Source organism: Homo sapiens, chromosome 15 (genome assembly GCF_000001405.40).
Source record: "Homo sapiens chromosome 15, GRCh38.p14 Primary Assembly".
NCBI classification, from domain to species: Eukaryota; Metazoa; Chordata; class Mammalia; order Primates; family Hominidae; genus Homo; species Homo sapiens.
In genome coordinates this window covers 86,125,390-86,141,991 of record NC_000015.10, presented here as the reverse complement: position 1 = coordinate 86,141,991, position 16,602 = coordinate 86,125,390, and the positions used below count along the sequence as shown (strand labels likewise).

Here is a 16,602-nt window from a genome sequence, read left to right as displayed (position 1 = left end):
CACAGGCAGCCATATTTAAGAATGCAAGAGGAAGGAGTTGGATGATCAGGGATGTACATGGAATGGCAGAGCTCTACTTCCTGTCATGGAGAAAGATTAACTACAGCGAAAGGACAGGCAAGGGGATTCACTTGGTAAGAGACCCAGGGGCTGTGCCTCCCTCCATATTTAGTCTTCAGAACTCATCTTTGCAGACGTATCTTGTAGTAACATCAGCAAGATGAACAAAAGAATAAGCAATAATGATTTACACAGAAAACAAGGAAGTAAAAGGGGCTTTGTGGGCCAGAGTAGCACAGGTCTGTTATTTCAGTAGGCTTGGCTTATTTTTATTTTTATTTAAGATGAAGTCTTGCTCTGTTGCCCAGGCGGGGGTGCAGTGGTGCGATCTCCACTCACTGCAACTTCCACCTCCCGGGTTCAAGCAGTTCTTCTGCCTCAGCCTGCCAAGTAACTGGGGCTACAGGCATGTGCCACCACCCCTGGCTAGTTTTTTGTGTTTTTAGTAGAGACAAGTTTCCACTGTGTTAGCTAGGATGGTCTCAATCTCCTGACCACGTTATCTGCCTGCCTCGGCCTCCCAAAGGGATTACAGGCATGAGCCACCACACCCGGCCGGCTTATTTTTCAATACAGCACAGAGGCAAGAAACAGAAATCCACTAAAATGTTCTGACGAAAAGACTTCCCTGACTGACAAGAATGAACTCCTCCTTTTCTCAGGAGAATCCCAGGGTGGTGCCAAATCCTATTATGAAAAAACTCTAAAGGATCTCTGCAATGCTTGATACTCTATCCTCTGTTATACAGAAGAGAACCCTGAATTCAGAGACAGTGTGGACTTGCTGAGTCTCCTGAAGTAATACATACAGCAAGGCCAGAAGTACCACTCAGTCCAGTCTCCCAAAATCAGGCCAGCGCTCTTTGCACTGTAAGATATTTGGAGGAGAGGGTATTTTATTTAAGGCAAAGCCTTAATCTTCCATAAGACTCATACTCCTCATCCACTTCAAAGGCCTCAATAATTCCCCATCACATATAGGATAAAGTCATAGCTCATTAATAGAATTTCCAAAGCTCTTTATGATCTTGTCCTTCTTATGTCTTCAGCTTCATTATTCATTACAACACCCTGCCTGAAATAGATGTTTCATCAACACGGAACCCCTTGGAGTTTCCTGCTCAAACCATGCCATTTCATGCCTCTGTAACTTTGATCACACTCTTCCCTCTTCCAGCCGCACTTTTCCTTACCTCTCAGCCTAGTCAATGCCAGCTCATCCTTCAAGTGCACTCCAGCTCCACGAGATCCCATCCAACCCCCAAGCTGGGTCTGGAGTCCCTTCTATCTCCACATCACTCTGGGCTCAGCCCTGACATTGCACTTACCACATGGTGTTGGTATCATGGTATAATCTTGCTTCCCACTCCACCCCCACTAGGTATGAAGATATTTAAAGAAGAAATCAAGTTTTGTGTATATATCTTTCCAGCACCTGGCACAAGGGGTCTTTCATAAAAGGTGGGCAAATATTTGTTGAATGGAACCAAACTGAACCAAAAAGAACTCCAAGGAGGCCATGAAGTCCAACAACATCCCCAAAGGCACATGATGCCTACACTTTCTTCAGTCCCAGCCTTAAGCCTCCCCAGGGTCTTAAAGAGTTAAAATCAGACTTCAAAATCCCAGCCAGGGCCACCTGCTTCAGCACAAAATTTAAGGGGCATTAAAAAAAAAAAAACCCACAGTAATCAAGATAAATATTTTTACAAATCAAAATTAATTAATTGAAAAAATCAACTAATTGATTAACACCTGTGGGCGGGTGTTTGAGAAGTACCCCCCTGAGGGTGAAGAACTTGGCATCTGACTGCGCTATGACTCTGGGAGGGGCACCCACAACATGCACGGGGAATACCAAGACCTGACCACCAGGGGCGCTGTCACCCAGTGCTACCCAGACAGGGGCTCTCCACATCATGTCCCGCCCACCCATTTAGATCATGAAGGTGGAGGAGATTGTCCCCAGCAAGTGCCACCGGCCCACAGTGAAGCAGTTCCACGACTCCAAGAACAAGTTCCCGCTGCCCCACTGGGTCCTGCGTTGTCAATGCAAGTGGTACTTCACCACCAAGAGACCCAACACCTTCTTCTAGGTGCTGGGCCCTCTCACCCAGGTGGGCCCCACTTAAACTAAGGAATGCCCTGGTTTTTAAAAAAAAAAAAAATCAATTAATGTATTTTTTCAATTAATTTTGATTTGTAAATTAATTGATGAACAAGATATCAAAATTTAACTTTCTAACTCCTATTCTGAGAAGGATGAGACCTCTAGGGATCCCTAGATACTTGATGGGATCCCTAGACACTTACCCAGGAGATTGATTGTGTTTTCAGAAGAGACGAGTTTCCACCATGTTAACCAGGATGATCTCGATCTCCTGCCTCAGCCTCCCAAAGGGATTACAGGCATGAGCCACCACACCCGGCTGGCTTATTTTTCAATACAGCACAGAGGCAAGAAACAGAAATCCACTAAAATGTTCTGATGGAAAGACTTCCCTGACTGACAAGAACGAACTCCTCCTTTTCTCAAGAGAATCCCGGGGTGGTGCCAAATCCTATTATGAAAAAACTCTAAGGGATCTCTGCAATGCTTGATACTCTATCTGTATAACAGAGGTGTTATACAGAAGAGAACCCTGAACTCAGAGACAGTGTGGACTTCCTGAGTCTCCTAGGGATCCCTAGACACTTACCCAGGAGAAAGACTTGGGTTTCCTCTAACATCTTCTCCACTGGGAGCTTTGGGCTAACAAGGGCAGTCTTGGCATATGCTTTGCTAATGCCTGTCATCACAGCTGCACTAAATGTTAATAGATGATATCATTCTCTGAAACTCCAAGTCCACACCATCCTCCAGCAACTGTGATATATACGTGTACCAATGTGGGTGCCTCTCCCTCCGTAGTCTATGAAAAACTAGAAATAAGAACCGAGGAGCTGTCCAGCAACTGATCTATTATTTGGGGGAATGTTCAGGACTCTAGCCCTTTGAAAATGGACCCAAAGATGGCTCACAGAAGAAAATGAAGTCTCTGGAATTAGTTTCCTGATCAACATTGACATTTCTGGATAGACCTGTAGCACAGCTCATCTTTCTATGAAGAGGAGGGGCATAAAAGCCTTTGGAAAGGCTGTGCAAATGTTGGGTAAATTTTAAAATGCTGAAGTCATTAGTTGATTATAAATCATGAGCAAGGAAAAGGAAAATAAGAGAGAAAATGAGGAGATGAGAAAAAGAGGAAGGAGAAAAGGGAAAGAAGAAAACTAATAAGGTAAAAACTGATTAAAGGGGAATAAAAGGTCCAGATATAATTTATTTTCATTCAATGATTCATGCATTCATCTCGCAAACATTCACTGGGAATCATCTACATTCCAGCCACCAAGCTGGGCACTGAGGATAAAAATGGATGACAGCACAACCTTCCTTCATAGGGCTCCAGGCCTGGCTGAGATGAACAGCTGGCAGACAGGACCCAAGACAGCAAGGGCTGTGACAAAGGTAAACTGGGAGAAGTAGAGAGAATCCTGGAAAGAAACATTGAACCCAGCCAGATCCATGAATGATAACTCTTGAGAAACCTCTCAGAAGCTAAACAGGGTTGGGCCTGGTTAGTACTTGGATGGGAGACTCTTGAGAAACCAAGTTGAAAGGGGAGAAAAGAATGTTCCCACTGTGATGTAGCCCTGTGTGTTCCGAGGGCAACATGGCAGAGCATGGGGAGGCTGGGGGATGAATCTGTCTGCAGTATGACCAGATTGAATAAAGCAGATGGTGAAGGGAATTGCACATTATTTGTGGGCAAGAACTAGGTCTTATTCATATCTCTATTCCCACCTCACGAGCTGTAATAGATAATCCATATATTTTATTAATTTCTCAAGCTAAGGAATGGCCTGCTTTATTATAATGCCCACTGATACTCCCTGAGAACAAGCATTGTCTTCTATACTTCTGTTTTATCTGCCAACAGGGATATAGAACTGGGCATATGGTATATATTAAATCAACATTTAATATACAAATCAATTAAATTGGTTTGACCTGTGGCCAACATCATATGCTGCACACACTTCAGTCATTCCTCCGGAGCTGCCTCTGAGAAAACCCCATTTGCTTCAAATACAGGATGGTTGAGTGTTGATGGAGGATGTGGGTCTCTCTCCCCTGCCCAGGGAATGGGCCATGGTTCATCTCCTCTAAGCTTTTTCTCTTTCCTGTGGTTGGTTTAGAGGAGGATATGAACCCAGATCAGAAATAGAAAACCTGAGAGGATACCTGCAAGATTTTGGAAAAAATTTTTCTCCAGAAGTTAAAAAAAAAATTTAAAACAAAACACAAAAAATATTTCCTGTGTTTGGACATTGCCGTATGAAGACACAATTTTGGGTCCTCGGTGACTGGTAAGCCACCAGATCAACTCTAAGGAGCCCCCCACATGTGGGCTTTCAGATAAGAGAAATAATGAATATCTTACTTAAAAAAGCCACTTTTAGTAAATTCAGATGTGACAGAGAAAAGAAAATTTTACACCTCCACGTGCTCTCTTCCCAAGTACTGTGGTCTTGAAAAATAGGAAAGAAGTTGGTTTCACAAACAAACCAGAGAGCCAGCTCACCCACAGGGTCCTGCCACCCCATGGAAACTAAGAGACAGTGTTGTCCTAAAGACGTTCAGTTCATAATGCCCTCACTTAGCGCTGAGCCAGAATGGAGCAGCACAAATGGTTTTACTTTAAGTAAACATTATGGTGATCAGTGGAGAAAAATAATCTCAACTGGCATTAATTTATGTACTGCTACATTTACCAATAAATATTTTACACTATTTAGAAGAATAACACAAAGCTGTTATCTCACCCACAGTAATAATAAATGAGCAGTTAAAGAAGGCAGGATGTGATGTGCCTTGATTTTCCTTTAATGATCCTTTGAAATGAAACATTGAGTAATCCCCTGTTGTTGAAAAAAATCCTATAAAAAAATGTATCTACCAAGCTTTCAGGGAGACTCAGGGAGTTGGAGTTGGAAGAACAGTGTCTTTCATAGTCTGTGGGGTTTTGAACTGCAATTTTCTCAAATACTGTTTTGAATGTGTCACTCCCTGCTTTAAAATCTTCTATGTGTCCCTGTTGCCTTCCTCCTCCCAGCTCCTCACCACAGTATGAAAGTGACGCCCTTTACGTCACTCTGCCTTTGGAGGCTCAGCTGCAGCCACTCCTCCTACCCCAACACTCCATGCCAATGATACAGAACCAGTTATTATGTACCAAGAGTATCATGGGTACCTCTGCTCTCAAGTCTGGGCTCATGCTGATGCAGGCTTAAGCATCATTTCTCCCCACTCTTTGTAGCATATGTTAATTCTCAGCTCCAGTTCCTTTTCTTTATGGTTTTCCCAGCTAACCTGCCTTCCCAGCCCCCATTACCCACAATTGCCACATATGTCTGCTCCTATTGGGCTCTGCACAACTCCAGGGCTGCTGTTCACAAAGACTACAACATGATTGGTGCCCCACCAAGTGAGGCACTGTGGTGGCCTGGCCTCTCCAAGAACAGAATTATTTGTTCTAATTCGTTGTCCAACAACACTTTGTACATACCTTTTATTAAAGTTCTTACTTGATGCTGGTTATTTTCTTATATCTCTGTTCTCACTGTCTATTGTGGGGGTAACAAACTATCCCAAAACTTAATGCCTTAGAACAATGGCCTTTTAATTCTAGCTATGGATTTTGTGGGTAGGTAAATTTGGCCAGAACTTGGCTGGGAGATTCTACTGCTTCCCATGGTATTAACTGAGGTCACTGAGTGCCACTCAACTGGCAGATGCACTAGACTGGAGGGTCTATGTTGATTTCAATCACATCTGGCACCTTGACAGGTATAGCTAGAAGACTGGGCACACCTGGACTAGTGACCAGAATGCCCACATATGTCTTTTTCAGCATAATAGTCTTAAGGTACCTGGACCTCTTCCATGGCAGCTGGCTTCCCCCAGATCAAGTATTCCACATGAACCGGGTGAAAGTTGCAAGGCTTCTTTTGTCTTAGCCTCAGAAGGCCAAACATCACTTCTGCCACATTCTATTGATTAATCAAATCAATCTGGACGCTAGTCCAAATTTAAGGGGAGGGGAGTTAGACTCTACCCCTCAACTGGAGGAGTAGAAAAGAATTTTCAGCCACTTTTAATCTCCCACACTCACTTTAGACTGTGAGCTCCTCTAGAGCAAGATTTTTGACTCATTCCTCTTGCCCTCCCCTGATCCTAGCATGGGGTCTTTCACACAGTAGGCATTCAGGGAACTATGGAATGATATGAAGTGGGATTCAGACTGAATATGCAATCTGACAGAGCCTTGTCATTCTGTTCTCGATGCCAGGATGTAAAGTCCATCTCAGTGAGAACATTGTTACAGAAGTTTACAAGGTGCACAGCTCAATTTTTCTGTCAATCTAGCAACTGAGCAAGCAAATACAGAGTGCCAACTATGTGTCAGTGTTTTAGTCTGTCTTTTGTGTTGTTATTTTTTAAAGCTTGAGATTGGGTAATTTATAAAGAAAAGAAGTTTGTTTGGCTCACGTTCTGCAGGCTGTACAAGAAGCATGGACCCAGCATCTGCTTTTCGTGAAAGTGTCAGGCTATTTCTGCTCATGGTATGAGGCAAGAGGAGCCTGCATGTGCAGATCACAGGGTAAGCGAGGAAGTGAGAGAAGGAAGGGAAGTGCCAGGCCTTTTCAACAACAAGCTCACGTGGGAAACAGGAGTGAGAACTCACCCGCTCCTGTGACAGTGGCACTCAGCCATTCATGGGGGATCTGCCCCTACGATCCAAACACCTCTCATTCCATAGTTTCCTGAATGCCTACTCTGTGCAAGGCCCCAGCGCCCCATTAGGCCCCAACTCCAACATTGGGGTTCAGATCTCAACATGTGACTTGGTAGGGGCAAACAAATCATATTCAAAACATAGCAGTCAAACACTGTTAAAAAAAAAAATAGGCACCATTGGCTGGCACAGTGGCTTACACCTGTAATCCCAGCACTTTGGGAGGCTGAGGCAGGCAGATCATGAGGTCAGGAGATCGAGACCATCCTGGCCAACATGGTGAAACCCCATCTCTCCTAAAAATTAAAAAAATTAACTGGGCGTAGTGGCACGTGCCTGTAATCCTAGCTACTCGGGAGGCTGAGGCAGAAGAGTCGTTTGAACCTGGGTGGCAGACGTTACAGTGAGCCGAGATCATGCCACTGCACTCCAGCCTGGGCGACAGAGTGAGATGCCATCTCAAAAAAAAAAAAAAAAAAAAAAAAAAAGGCACCATTGATCCATCACAGTCTTAAAGTGGAGGGGAAAAAAGGATCCTGTAGTCCCCCTCTCAATTTTCTCCACAAGTCTAGATCCAATTTTACTAGACTGGGAAAAAAACAGTCCATCCCCTCGCACTTTGAGTAGTGCCCCTGATCTCACAGAAATAGAGTGCTTATGCCCTGCCAGACTGAAAGAACAAGCCCATAACATTCTATTTCTTAGCCTCTAAAGAATAAGACAGAACCTTTCCAAACTCATGAGCCAAGAGCTCAGGACACAGCTCATAGCCCAAGGAAACCATATTGCCAAAAATAAATTTGTTCTTCCAGTCATGCAGTTTGAACACTCACTAGAGATGGTCCACTGGTTAAATAAAAGACATTATTAAATTTGAAGTTGTTAATGAATGACTGAAGGGAGCACTAATCACAAACTTCAATTACTAAAAATGGTTATATAACACCAAAAATAGTGACCAGCCGCTCTCTGTCTTCACACAAGAGGAAACAGGCAGAAACTGCATGATTAGAAATTTAGTATAAGTTGAAGGAAAACATTTCCTGGAGAGGTTGAAATGAGTTCATAAGAAAGAAGTGTTTTAGAAGACTATGGGCTGAATAACTATGATATTTGTTTCAATAATGGTGGGGGTTGGCATGGAAATACTGAAGACATATAAGAAAGACGTCTGCTATCACTACAGAAGCTGGGTGGTAGGTAATGTGGTTTTGTAACAAAATGTTAAGATATAAAATAAAACAAAATAAAAAAATAAATGGCATATACTATTTTCTGACTGGAGTATCTTAGATGGAACCTTGAAAACAACCTCAACAAGATCTTTGCTGAGAGTTCTCCAGCCCCAGAATTTGACAAATGTCCCAACCACACATTGAGTCTTATATAATGAATTGTCAAGGATATCAATGATCCTCCTCGGTAAAAAGGGTATTCACGGTCTAGAACAAGGTAAAGATAGAATGTAGTCTGTTTTTCATTTATTTGGTAGATGTTTGTTGAGCATTTGCTATGTACCAGGAACTGCGCTAGGTGCTACGAATACATAGACAGCATGTATACAGACAGTCCTTGTTCTTACAAAGCTTCGAAGTTAGTTGGGGAGGGATGTATTGTGCAGAGTCACCCAGATATAAAAGTGCAACCAGGAATAGGTGCCGGGTTTATTGTGACATGTGAGCATAAAATAGAGTTATTTGATGTGAATCAGAAAAGGATCCCTTAAGAAGTAACACTTAAGCTGAGAGCTGAAAGATAAACAAAAGTGAACTAGCAGAAAATGGAAAAGAAAAATGCTCAGGGCAAAAGAGGCTAGTATGCAAAGTCCTATGGCAAAGTTGAGGGACATTCAGAAGGCTAGTGAGGCTGAGGCACAGAAAGAGAGAGGTAGAGGGAGACAGGGAGAGAAAGACAGAAGAGAAGGGGTTAAAAATGTAAGTTTAATTCAGATCAACTTTAGGCTAATTTCCATAACCTCTGTAACACCCAATTTCCTCACCCACATTATTGGACTAATACTTGTACCTAACTCATGGACAGTTGGGTTAGAAATACCATAATAAATGTAGGAATGTTTAGCTTACTGCCTGGGTCACACTAAACGCTCAATAAAATGTTGATAAATAAATAGGCGATGGCCATGACAGACAAAAGGTGAATAATCTAAAAATAGGTCTGAAGATCCTTTGAGATACATCTTATGAGATCAATTTTCCACCAGGATCACAATGTTCCCAATTTAGCAGAATACTCTTAAGGAGAGAGAAAAAAAATAAACAAAACATCTCAAGAGGGTGAGATTGCATGCTCTGGGCAGAAACAATTTTGAATCCTGTGCTTTGTCAACAATGCCCGGCACGTTCGTGGTCTCTCTATAAATTGCAAAGTCTCCGGTCATCATAATAATGCTAGCAATCAACAACCTCACATGCCTAAAAGGTTCTCTGTTTTCTTTTAAATGATGCTGATTGGAAAGCAGGCTCCATCTCTATTTCTAGGAAGTCTATGAAGTCTTTCCCAAGCACAGTTGACAAATTATAGCACAAAACTTGCAGGTTAGAATTAAGGATTTCTGAAAGGAAGTGGCAAACAGTTTTCAGCTTTTCTAAAAGGATTCTAAACATAGCAAGTAAATAACACTTCCAGGTGTCTACCACCCAAGGCTCACACCGTCGTCAAGGAAATGGGTTGCCGCCTTCTTCCTTCAACCAGCAGCTGCCACTTGCTACCTTCATCCCCTCTGAATCCACCACCTCCAAAACATACATGGACAATTAAGAGCATTCAGGACAGGGAGGCTCCTCCCTGCCTCTACAAGTCACCTTCATTCCAAAAACACTGGGGAGATGCCCTTTTCCTTGTCCTCTACCCAGCTCATTCTCAGCAAGCTAGTCTAAAGCAGAATTATGAAGCAGGAATGATTCGACCCTGCTGTCTTTGCGCCTCTCGTTTCAGGGACTCCTGTTGTCTTGTGGGTACTCCGCTACTCGGGTACTCTTTAAAGTAGTGGGTAATGGTCTTCCCTACCCCAATCTGAAGCGCTGTTTTCAGAGATGTTCTGTACAATTTGAGGGTTAAGAAATAGGCATCAGGATATGAACTGGCATCCCATGTAGACAACGTTATGATTTTTTTTTTTTTTTTCGAGACATGGTCTTGCTCTGTCACCCAGGCTGGCAGGATCACAACTCACCGAAGCCTCAACTGGACTGCAGCCCACCTTCCCAGGATCCTCCTACCTCAGCCTCCCGAGTAGCTGGGACTACAGGAGTGCACCACCACACCTTGCTCATTTTTGTATTTTTGGTAGAGACAGGATTTCCACCATGTTGCCCAGGCTGGCCTTGAACTCCTGAGCTCAAGCAATTCACCCACCTCAGCCTCCCAAAGTGCTGGGATTTACAGGCGTGAGCCACCGCACCTGGCCAATATTATGATTATTACCATTCGGTGTCTACCTTGTTTCAGACACCATTTACTGCTTAATTCTTAAAACAAAATTCTCATCCTAAAATTTAGATATCATTATTCTTATCATAACGATAAGGAAATTGAGGCCAAGAGAAGTTGAATAATTTACTCAAAAGCAAACATAAACTTTCTTACTATTTTACAAATTGAATTTTGAAATATAGCAAGTTTAAAAAAAATAGGACATTGTAAAATAGCCAAATTAGTATTTATTTAGTGGAAACTTTTTGACTGTAAAATCCAAACTGTGATGATTTTAAAACTTGTCCACAAATGCTTTGTCATGTGTACCACCAAGAGATGGTATCCATGTCAACTACTCTTGAATCTTAGCCAATTTCAGTAACTCTCTTATTACCAAATAGAATGCAATGGAAGTGACATTGCTTACCTTTCAAGAGTAGGTCATGAAAAGCAAAGCAATCCTGGGGTACAGCTTGATGATTAAGAAATAGGCATCAGGTCACTGGGATACTTGCATCTGAAGCCCTAAGTCTCCATGTAAGAGGACTGACTACCATAAGGAAGCCATGCCATAACAAAGCCCAGTATGGGTCTTGCCATACGGAAAGACCCATATGGTGGTCCAGTAGACAGTCAATTAAGCTCTCAGCTGAACTGGGATCAATTGGCATTAAATGTCAACCAAATAATGGAAGGGAGCAATCTTAAATGTCCAGACCAATTGAGGTTTCAGATAATTGCAACCCCAGCCAACTTCTGACTGCAACCATACAAGAGACACCAGGAAAGAACTGCCCTGATGACTTATTTCCAAATGCCTGACCACCAAAATGTGAGAAAAATAAAATGGCTGTTTCAAGCCACTGAGATCAGGATAATTTCTTACCAGCAATAGTGACTAGAATGCAAACCAATCTCAATAGGAGATCAATAAAAAGCATTGAAAATCTTGTTTCTAAAAACTGAATTTGGAATGCATGACAGTGAAAAAGAAAAAAATCTATACCAAGCATTTAAACTGCAAAATCTCTCAAAGATTTTAGTGAGTTTCTCTCTTACTCAGGTGTTTCTACAAAAAATTACATGATAGAGAATAGAGAAACATCAGACTTGGAGGTGGTAAATCCAGTTCTAATCCTAATTTTTCCATAATGATTTTAGAGAAGCCATTTACTTTCCCTGGACCCCACTTGCTTTCCTCATGTTTCAATTAAGAAAATAAGAAGACACGATTTTTCAGGCTCCTTCCAGTTCCATAACCTAATGATGTTCTGTGATGTCAAACTGGAGTCAATAGGAGATCTTCATGCTTAACGTATAATAATAATAAAATTTAAAAAAAAAGAAGCCAACTTTCCATTTTTGACAGTGTGGCAGACTCTGAAGATGAAGAATGAGAGAGAAAGTGGTAGTGTATGTTCATCTGCTGGAAACATGCCCAGGAGTCTCAGAGGACAGGTGTGCCCTCAGAAAACTCAGGTAGGGCACGAAGCTCTTCTAAAGGTGTCCCTCATGCTCCAGTATAGAGTGAGACATATAAAAGAGGCCAGTGTGGACTTCAGTTCAAGATCCCTGCCCTTTCCCCTACCCACACGACTGCTGACCTTTGTTAACTTAAGACGGCACCATGACATTTTAAAAGAACAGCTCTACAGTTGGCATATTTCCCAAGAAGGAGTAATTTTTTCCCTTTCAATTCACATATGTTAGCCAGGAGTCTCTGGGGTGTAAAGGTATCCCAGCATTCATCCTCCCATTCCACAATTTTAAATTTATGCCTTTCTGTCCACCCCACACGCTCTCTCTCAAAACCTCCACTGTGTTAACTATCTTCTCAAAAGAATCTATCAACGAGTTACTTCACCCTAATGCAGGCTTTCTCAAGCTCAGCACTATTGGTATTTTGGGGCAGATAATTATTTTTTTAATGGGAAAGAGGGAGCCGTCCCATATATTGCAAGATGTTTAGCAGTATTCCTGGTCTCTACCCGCTAGAGACAAGTAGCATAACCACCCCACCACTCTCAGCCCCAGTTGTGACAACCAAAAATATCTACAGATGTTGCAAAATACAAACTTGGCCCTGGTTGAGAACCACCACACAAATGCATTAATTACTCATACCTATGTAACATACTATTCCTCCCGGTAAACCTAATGGGGATAATGAAATAAATCAAAGGAATAAAAATCTCCCTGTTTCAGGGATCATTTAAAGCCAAGTCAGGGAGATGCTTTAGGGCTTGGAGCTTTATGGAGCCTCCCACAAATCATTCCTCCAAGACAATTGCCTACCTTCCATTTTCACTCAAAGCCAGGACTAGATTTTTCTGAATCAGATACAAGACCAGTCAGATTCCTATACACACAAACGCACACACACAGAGGGTTAAGTGACAACGTAGTTAAATTTAGCAAGTTTCATTCTATAGATATATCCAGCATCTGCTCAACTATTTGAAAATAAATCAATAACCAGGAATTAAATTGAGGGTGTGGCTTTGATCTAGAATGAGACATTATATTCATTTTTGAATGACTATTAATTCATATTCCCACTACAGTATTTGGTTCTGTTATATTGAAAGAAAGCATCCACCACATTCCAGGCGATAAAGACTAAGATTTTCTGTTCGTTTTATTGTCAGTGTTCTCCCCAATTTATCCATGATTGGCTTCATTATTGGAAGCACTGTGTTAATATAATTGGGAGATATTTATTAGGTAGCCACTTCAGGTCAAGAACTGGAGATGCGGTTGTAAATAGGTCAGTAAGGTCTCTGTTCTCACAGATATCTCACCCTAGGAAGTATCTGCTCAACTAATGTTTCAGGTATGGTAAGATTAATAGCTATAATTGTCATATACCCCAGTTCCCTTCATTCTGCTACATAAGTACAGATTAATTCCCCAGATCTAGTAAATGAGTTCATTTGGCCAAAGAAAAAGAGATAAAGAAAGGGAACATAGGTAAGTTAGCATAACTTACATACAAACTTCTTGCCTCCATTAATAAAATAACGCGCAAACACTGTAAGGTTGAACTGGGGTGGAAGGAACGAGGTGTCACCATGCGAGGTGGGGCGCCTGTATCTCAGGGACTGATTCTCTGCGCCTGGTGATCCAGCTTCCTCCCAAGTTGCTCATACGGTAAGTTAGAACCAAGACATAAACTTTGCACATATCTCCAGAATTCCAAGTTTTACCATGACATGTAATGTGGTTTGGCTGTGTCCCCACCCAAATCTCACCTTGAATTGTAGTAATCCCCACCTGTCAAGGGCAGGGCCAGGTGGAGATCATTGAATCATGGGGGTGGTTTCCCCCATACTGTTCTTGTGGTAGTGAATAACTCTCGTGAGATCTGATGCCTTGATAAATGGGAGTTCCCCTGCACAAGCTCTCTTGCCTGCCGCCTTTCCTTCTCCTTTGCCTTCTGCCATGAGTGTGAAGACTCCCCAGCCATGTGGAACTGTGAGTCCATTAATCCTCTTTCCTTTATAAATTACCCAGTCTCAAGTATGTCTTTATTAGCAGCATGAGAACAGACTAATACAACATGAGACTAATTGGTAAATAGACAAGTTTGTAAGGTATACAGGTGAGTTAAGATAATGTTACCCACTAAAACAACCACCCCCCAAAAAAACATATGAATGGCCCAATCAAAAAAGAGGGTTTTTAAAAATTCATAGAAGGTCCTAAAGAGATATTCTTAATTGATGGGCAGGGCTTCTCTAAGTGGTTATTCAATAACCCAGTTACTCCTCTCTTGTGGCTTTCCTTTTCTCATGTACCCTCCAAGATCAACATGTTCATCTGCCTTAAGCTAACTGAAAAAAAATACAGAGGACCTCTCACAGGAGGGTTTTATGTGACAGGTCTGAAAGTGGCACATGTCATTTCCAACCCCATCTCATTTATCAAAACTCAGTCACATGTTCACACATAACTGCAAGGGAGGATGGAACTTGTAGCCCAGCTGTTGTGTTAAAAGAAGAAGAAGAAATGGCTCTGGAAGATAGATAGCTTGGCTCCGCCATAATAGAATTTTCTCCTTTTCCACTTAGGGTTTCCCAAGAGGTATGATTTCCCACGTGCCCTCGGCCACGTGGCCTGCTTTTGGTGGATGCCATCTTTCCCTTGCTACCTGGGATCACCTTCCATTGTGTCCATACTCACCACACTATAGGCCAAAGTAATCAAGATCCACAGACACTGGATTTCCTATCCTGCAACAGAAGGCAATTTTCCAAGTTCTTATTTCTATAGGAGGACCCACGTCATTTATAAAAGATTGACTCTGATATTGATTACACTTTTTGGGATGAGCCAAACCTTTAATCTCAATAATAAACACAATGTTATATATGAAAAGAAAACTCAAACAATAACAAGAAGAGTCAGTAAATCATACAACCTATGTCCACGGTTGAAAACACAAAGCCCTTATACTTCTGAGTGAATTACTTCATAAACATAATCATCAACAGCTAAGGTCAAACATACCAAGGATCAGAGAGTAAGTATTCCTGTAGTTTTCCCCCTTGTTTGAAGGCCAGATTACTGGGGACTACAGCTTTAAGTTTCTATGAAGAGAGATTACCCATCCTGTCTGTATAGTGTAGCCTCCTCATCTCATGAGGCACATCTCAGAAGTATTTAAGCCATATCATGAGCTCATTGGACCAGCTGGTCCACACAAGCACCTCTAAAGGACTTCAACTGTGATTTTCATCCCAGCAAATCTCATCTTCAAAGCAGAATGTTTCCCACCAAATATATCCAGGAATCTCAGTGCTATGTGGCCAGCTGCAATGAAAATTTGTTGCAAGATTTGGTGTATCAATTATAACCACAGCGCAACAACTAAACAGGAAGCAGTTTGGAAGAAAATTAGGCATCCTATTTATCTTTCCCTATGCCCTAGGTCTTCATTTCCAAAGAATCAAATGTATTTTTTATCTGTATCTCTATTATAAATCCCACTAACCCCTTCTTCAGTGAAAGAATATATTCAAAATTTTATCATCACTAGGTAATAAGTATGGATAAGAGTATATGGATAATGTCATAAAACATTCTCCTAGAGAGGTCTCATTTCTCATCAACAGGATCTTGTGCTTGAAGCACTGTTCAATTCATATAGACTCTACCATCTATTTATGAATATTCTGTATATCTCTTTGGAAATATAAACATTCCATCCTGGAGCAACAAAGACCCACAGATGTCACCCTAGAATTCTGCCAAGGACACTGCACCTGCTTCAGATGGATTCTTGGTTGTCAATAATTTTATACCAGGTTCTTCAGTCTTTACCAGATTATATTTCATGAAGTAGAGGAAGCAGGTAAGAGTAAACTGTTTTTATGTGAAAATAAGGCTGAATAGAAACTGATGACATTTCATCTTTCTTATAGTTCACACCCCAAAAACAGAGGATTCCAGAAAATCAATGTCAGCAGGCGTGGTTATAAAATTAATTAGTTAAGAGGGTAAATAAATGGGAAAGATAATAGAAAAAAAATAGCTTCCAAGGATGAAGGTGGTAGTTCCACTATGGATCAAGTCTTCAACGATCAAAGATTACAACAGGACACCGAGAAGAAAATAGTCTATTAAAAGCCATGAATGTTTGGCAATTAGCCAGTTGAGTCACAATTTTCATAGGTCATAAAAGCATCTGCAGCTGTGTAGGATCACATAACCCATAAAGAGGACATCAGGCTTCTCTTCTCTAATTGCCAGGGCTGAATTCCAAAAACTAAGGAGATATTCAATGATCTCTTAGTTCAATGCTCCCACTTAAGGAATACAAATTTGTTTCATGCCTGTTTTCCGGAATTCCACTTTATGTTGAATTATCAAGTAAATGTCATGATGATAGAAGTTGTTTTTGACTTTGATCCTTTCCATGAATCTGGGACACATGGCTGGGACACTAATATGCAGAGATCCCTGCCTAGGTTGAAGAGGGATGAGTTTTAAATTATTGATTGAAAGTCACCAGGACATACAGTCATAGAGAGTTGTGGCTTCCCTCATAAGCAGTCACTTGACAGAATGTCCATTGTCTGTCCTTCTATATATCCATTAATCAATTGTTTATTAAGACTATTAGATGTTCATCAATACATTTAGCCATGGATGAAGGGGACTCAGAGGATGCCAGCAGAATGGGAGTTCTCAACGCAGCTGCAAAACAAGCCAAAAAGGACACAGAAATATTGACAAGTTACCGTGATCAAGTGCAAACTGAATTCAG

At 41.5% G+C, this 16,602-nt stretch overlaps 1 protein-coding gene and 1 pseudogene across 11 annotated transcripts in view; one reads left to right on the top strand and one right to left on the bottom strand.

The window, feature by feature from the left end:
* Positions 1-16,602, bottom strand: part of AGBL1 (AGBL carboxypeptidase 1) — a 951,857-nt gene that overhangs the window by 889,485 nt on the left and 45,770 nt on the right. The window lies entirely within an intron of this gene.
* Positions 3,613-3,723, top strand: RNA5SP400 (RNA, 5S ribosomal pseudogene 400; annotated as a pseudogene).